Raw genomic sequence first — 6,024 nt, 5'->3', positions numbered from 1 at the left:
TAATGTGCAGGAACTTGTTAAGAAGAAACAGCATTCCTCAGAATGGATTTTGCAGGTGAAAATAATGGAGAGAAGAAATTTCAGAGTCAACAGCTTGAGCAAAAAGCAAAGAAGCAAAAAGCCCACGTACATACAATCAGGGAGAGGTGAGAGCCTGTGAAGGCGGCTCTTCACATGTCTCTAATCTCAGTGAACTCTGTGTTTCTGCCCTGACTCTGCTCATTGTACAACATGGGGGAGGGGTCCTCCTTCCATCCCTTTCTCCTCTTCAAGGGTGACTCTTGGGTACTCAGAGTTTTATGAAATTAGGAGACCAAACTTGTTTCGTTTGTTTGTTTGTTTTTGAGACAGAGTCTTACTCTGTTGCCCAGGCTGGAGTGCAGTGGTGTGTTCTCGGCTCACTGCAATCTCTGCCTCCCGGGTTCAGGTGATTCTCATGTCTCAGCCTCCCGAGTAGATGGGATCACAGGCATGCACCACCATGCCAGGCTAATTTTTGTATTTTTAGTAGAGACAGGGTTTCACCATGTTGTCCACTCTGGTCTCGAACTCCTGACTTCAGGTGATCCAACTGCTTCAGCCTCCCAAAGAGCTGGGATTACAGGGGTGTGCCACCACACCTGGCCCAAACTTGTTTTTAAGGCCCCCAGATCAACAGTGGCTGCTACAGGCTTAAGAGTATGGCAAAAAAAAAAAAAAAAAAAAAAAGGCTCTAGGCTCCAATGCAGAAGTGACCAGGCTGAGCTCCTCCTTCCAGACTACTGACGCACACCAAAGCCCTCTGCCCTATGTTAGAGGCTGGGGATGCCAAAAAGGACCATTCCTGGTTTTTCCTTCTGGGTTTGGAATTTACTGAGAAATAAGACCAGGTCTGCCTCCTTACACACACTACTAACAAGCATCCAAATTGGGGCCGTCATTTGAGTCACCTGGGAAGTTTGCATTACATGCCTAGTCCAGGGATTCCACTATCTTGGAAGAACATTTCTGAAATTCCTTTGTTGGAATTTCATGGGGTCACAGTCAGACCCATAGACACCACCTACCCAGTTCTACTCTTCACTTCGTATGTGGGGTCACCAAGGCTCTGGAGCTTTGAAACCCACTGAGACAACATTTCCAATTGCAGGCACAGCTGAAACCTATCCTCTGCTTTCCTAAGACATGACTTTCCTTCAGAGCCACTTTACAAGCCACAGAAGAAATCCTAAGATTTCTTAGGATTCTCCTAAGAATTCCTAAGATCTCCTGAATCTATAGCAGTAGTTGTTCATTTCTTTGAATCATGGAGTCCTTGGGGAAAATCTGTTAAAGCTAAAAACAGGATCCCTCAGTAAAGAACACATACAGCCAGGTGTGGGGGCTCACGCCTGTAATCCCAGCACTTTGGGAAGCCGAGGCAGGTGGATCACTTGAGCTCAGGAGCTCAAGACCAGCCTGGGCAACATGGTGAAACCAGTCTCTACCAAAAATACAAAAATTTAGCCAGACATGGTGGTACACACCTGTGGTCCCAGCTACTTGGGAGGCTGAGCTGGGAGGATTGATCCCTTGAGCCTGGGAGGCAGAGGTTGCAGTGAGCCAAGATAATACCACTGCACTCCAACCTGGGTGACAGAGTGAGACCCTGTCTCAAAAATAAATAGACAAAAATACACATATACTTAAAAACTTCCACACACTCCAGGATGAGAACTCTTGCCCTATGTCAGCATACTAACTCCTTCCTTCAAATTTCAACAGCAGCTATTATGCAGCATGATCATCTTCCTCATACTCTAGACCTCCAGCCAAGTGACTTCTGGCTCTTCCCAACTATCAAATCCCTAAAGGAACGAGATGTTCCTGTGCTGAGGAGGTCCAAAAGAATGTGCTGTAGATTCAAAAGCCATTTCCACAAGGAGCATTCCAAGGATATTTGAAGAAATCCAGAGTCCCTGGAAAGCACAGCTTCTCCAGATGACCACCTAGAAGAGGGTAGCATCTCCGTACCTGTGCTGGTTGGCTCTTAAATAATCAGTCCCTTTCCCAGGCAAGGCTCATGGGGAGCCTTTGGTGTGATAACTTCTTATATGCTAATACAATAATGGACAATTCCAAAGCTTAGCAGAGAGCCCCCATTAGCAGATACTGCCTTCTCCATTCAGGTTTTTGGAACCACGCCAGGCAGTTATGTGCATCTGCCTTCCTGTTCCAAACTTTGTATAAACATGTACCTCTATTTTCTTCTTCTTTTTTTTTTTTTTTTGGTGGCGGGGGGTACGGAGTCTCACTCTGTCACCAGGTTGTAGTGGAGCGATCTCGGCTCACTGCAACCTCCACCTCCCAAGTTCAAGCGATTCTCCTGCCTCAGCCTGCCGAGTAGCTGGGACTACAGGCATGTGCCACCATGCCCAGCTAATTTTGTATTTTTAGTAGAGACAGGGTTTCACCATGTTGGCCAGGATGGTCTCCATCTCTTGACCTCATGATCTGCCCGCCTCGGCCTCCCAAAGTGCTGGGATTACAAGTGTGAGCCACTGTGCCCAGCCTACCTCTATTTTCATCTCCACCTCTCCCAACAGACTCTGGGCACAGACATGAAGGTCAGACACTGGACTCATGCATTCATCATTTATATGTCTATTTGACATGTATGAAAAGGCCACTATATGTTAGCACTGCTAATACAATGGTGAACAAAATAGTGCTGCAGCTTCTCAAGCAAGGCAGGCAGGCCAGGTAGGGTGGCTCGTGTCTGTAATTCCAGAACTTTGGGACGTTGAAGCAGGAGGATCACTTGAGCCCAGAAGTTTGAAATCAGCCTGAGTAACATTGTGAGACCTCCTCTAAATTTTTTTTTTTTAATTAGCTGGGCATGGTGGTGCACGCCTGTACTTCCAGCTACTCCAGAGGCTGAGGTGGGAGAAGGATCGCTTGAGCCCAGGAGTCTGAACTTGCAGTGAGCTATGATCGCACCACTGCACTTCAACCTGGGTGACAGAGGGAGACCCTGTCTCAAAGAAATAAAGAAAGAAAAGAAAAGAAAACAGGCAAACAAGCAATCATATAACAAAGTGTGGCTAATACTATCCTTTGGGAAATACAGAATACTTGATAGGACAGCCTGGTCTCCCTGGGGGAAAGGAAACTTTTAACTTAAGATCTGATGTACATCCTTTCCAGGGCCCAGCACAAAGTATGTGCTCAATGTGAAACATTACCCTGGGCAAAATCCTCCGGGCTTGCTGGAGAGGTCACTCACTAAGGGGCAATTGTTAGTCAATTTAAGAGTGGTTGTGGTGAGCCAAGGGCCCAGGGCCTGAGCATTCCGAAAGCCAGCTAGCGTCAGGTGCAGCTGGTCACCTCATTCAGCTCTTTCTGACACATTTGTGAAGTGGTAGGAGAAACAATAGACTTAGAACTCCTGTAGGGTTCAGTCCCAGGGTTCTGCCACTGATTACATTCGTGTGTTCTCACTTGTCCTTTTGTATAATGATGCCACCTTCCAGAGCAAAGGAATCTATGAAAGCCTGTTGCAAATGTAAGGACATGGAATCTATTTATCTAATCTATCGCCTGGCTGTCTGAATTTGCAGGGGAAGAAGAGGGCAGGGTAAACAATAAGTTTAGGAGAACTGGCAGGGGCACTGCCTTGTAGGGCTTGTGCCTCAAGCCTTTTGTTGTCTCGCATGATCTGGATTTGGCAAGGAGGGGGCAGCTTGAATTCCGGGCGGGCTAAAAGGCCTTGGCTGAGGTCTAACGGATTTCACAACACAGTATGGAAAGGCTTCCCACGAAGCGATCGGGGTGGGGGATGGGGAAAGCTGCAATTCTGCAAACTGGGAAAGGGTAGGAGGTGGGAGGTTCCCGAAAGCCAGGATGGAGTAGCGATTAAAACCCTTGATTACTGACACTACCCAGCACCCCCAACCGACCCCCTTCAAATCTCTGCCTTAACAACCGCAGCCTACAGGCAGTGTTATCACAAACTTGCACCGCAGGCCCTACCTATGAGCCCAGTCAGCCCTAAGGCAGCAGCCAGCCCCTGAGTGGCACGGGAGGAGCGGCCCCCACCTCCGGCAGCCGCGCATGCGCGCCGCTTACTCTGCGTTCCAACACCTCTAACACTCATCAACGGCGCCCCGATCCGCAGATTAAAGGAGCCTTCTCCCCTTTTACCCCCGGCTGTGCCCCATGCTCAATACACAGCAACTCCAGAGTCCATAGGCAGCTGTGCGGCGGTGGGGGTAGAAGGAAACGAGTCAAGAAGCTCTCGGGCCCGGCCCGAAACTACAACTCCCAGCAGACCCCGCGCCGCCCCGCCTTCTTGTGGGCGGGCCGAGGGTACCCAGCAGCTTAAAGCGGCGAGATCGCGACGTGTGTGGAAGGCTGGGTGCATGGTCTGCGCTCTGTGATCCGGCGCTGGGAGGGTGGAGAGAGCGGTGGCATCTTTCTGTCTTGCCTGTTGTACCTGAACTAGCAAACAGCACAGTTGAAATAACCTCTGAGCGCATTTAGAGGCGTCTCTCAGGTTCAGCAACTTGTTGCCCCTACTTCACAAATTCTGCATTGTTGGTTTAGCAAATGAGAACCTGAAAAATCGCCTGTATGTTAAATTTCTTCTTCTTTTTTTTTTTTTTTTTTTTTTTTTTTGAGACGTAGTCTCACCCTGTTGCCCAGGCTGGAGTGCAGTGGCGCGATCTCGGCTCACCGCAACCTCTGCCTCCCAGGCTCAAGAGAGTCTCCTGCTTCAGCCTCCCAAGTAGCTGGTATTACAGGCGCGTGCCACTACCACCCAGCTAATTTTTGTATTTTTAGTAGAGACTGGGTTTCACCATGTCAGCAAGGCTGGTCTTGAACTCCTGACCTCAGGTGATCCACCCACCTTGAGCTCCCAAAGTGCAGGGATTACAGGCGTGAGCCACCGCGCCCGGCTAAATTTCTGTGAAAATAAATTATTTTCCCTACCATGTCCAAGCAACCCTATTTTTTTTCCTAGTTTGCAGGTGTCTGTGGTTGATGTTTACTATCACTTATTTTCCCTAAAGACTCAACACACAAAAAAGAGGGGAGTCTGTTTAAAGAAATTCTGCAGTGAATCATCCTGAAAACGTAAAAACTTGTTTTGATAAGTTTTATACTTTAATTTTCTAACTTTTGTAATGAAGTGTCTTTAAAATGCAGCACACTTGAAATCCTTTTTTAAAGTGCAGAGTTAAGTGGTATCCTAATTTTTGAATAGGACGCAGAGAAGTTTAAAGAGGTTTAAGATCTACTCTTTGCTTCTTGCTAACGATGCAAAACGATGGTTCTTAGAGGGCACGAGGGATAGCTACCTTCTAGAATAGTGCTATTGGTCTGCACGACTGTAGTGGGTTTCTTGAACGGTGTAGTTTAGACCGTGATTTCTTACAGCCGCTAATGAACATCCTCCACATGCTAACGATGAACTCCTTTTGTTTTTGTTTGTTTGTTTTTTCCAAACAAATACAATTTAAGGGCCTCCATGGGAGTCATTTGGGAACTTAAATGCAGAATGGTTTAGCGTTGGATTTTTTCTTTGTTTTTGGAGTTAGCTTCAGCCTGCTGTTTTATGACCATGTGTGTGTTCACTCTCTTTAGTGTGGCATTTATGGATAACATGAAATTGGCCAACTTGGCAAAAGTTAACAAGATACATAATTTTTTATTTGTTCTTTGTGTGGGGCAGCCCAGCAATAGGCATACTGAAAAATTGAAATAATAGTTGATGTATAGTGATTTTGATCACTAGAGCAGCTATTGTGTTCTGAACAAACCCCCCATACACTGTGAAACATTAAAAGGGAGGAAGCAATACTTGCGATATTTAGTAATATTTAGATTTTTCCTTTTTTTTTTTTTTTTTTTGAGATACAGTCTCGCCCTGTTGCTCAGGCTGGAGTGCAATGGCGCGATCTCGGCTCCACCTCCTGGGTTCAAGTGATTCTCCTGCCTCAGCCTCCTGAGTATCTGAGATTACAGATGCACGCCACCACACCTGTGTGATTTTTTGTATCTTTA

General features: G+C 46.9%; 2 annotated features.

The window, feature by feature from the left end:
* Positions 4,285-4,334: an enhancer, noted in NCBI's record as "active region_28735". NCBI's record gives its function as "activates an Ori minimal core promoter by ATAC-STARR-seq in GM12878 lymphoblastoid cells {active_cell/tissue: GM12878}" and the evidence as "EXISTENCE:reporter gene assay evidence [ECO:0000049][PMID:35858748]".
* Positions 4,415-4,464: an enhancer, noted in NCBI's record as "active region_28734". NCBI's record gives its function as "activates an Ori minimal core promoter by ATAC-STARR-seq in GM12878 lymphoblastoid cells {active_cell/tissue: GM12878}" and the evidence as "EXISTENCE:reporter gene assay evidence [ECO:0000049][PMID:35858748]".

This window comes from Homo sapiens, chromosome 9 (assembly GCF_000001405.40).
Source record: "Homo sapiens chromosome 9, GRCh38.p14 Primary Assembly".
Taxonomy (NCBI): Eukaryota; Metazoa; Chordata; class Mammalia; order Primates; family Hominidae; genus Homo; species Homo sapiens.
The sequence above is the reverse complement of the archived record's forward strand: the minus strand, read 5'-3'. Positions and strand labels throughout refer to the sequence as shown.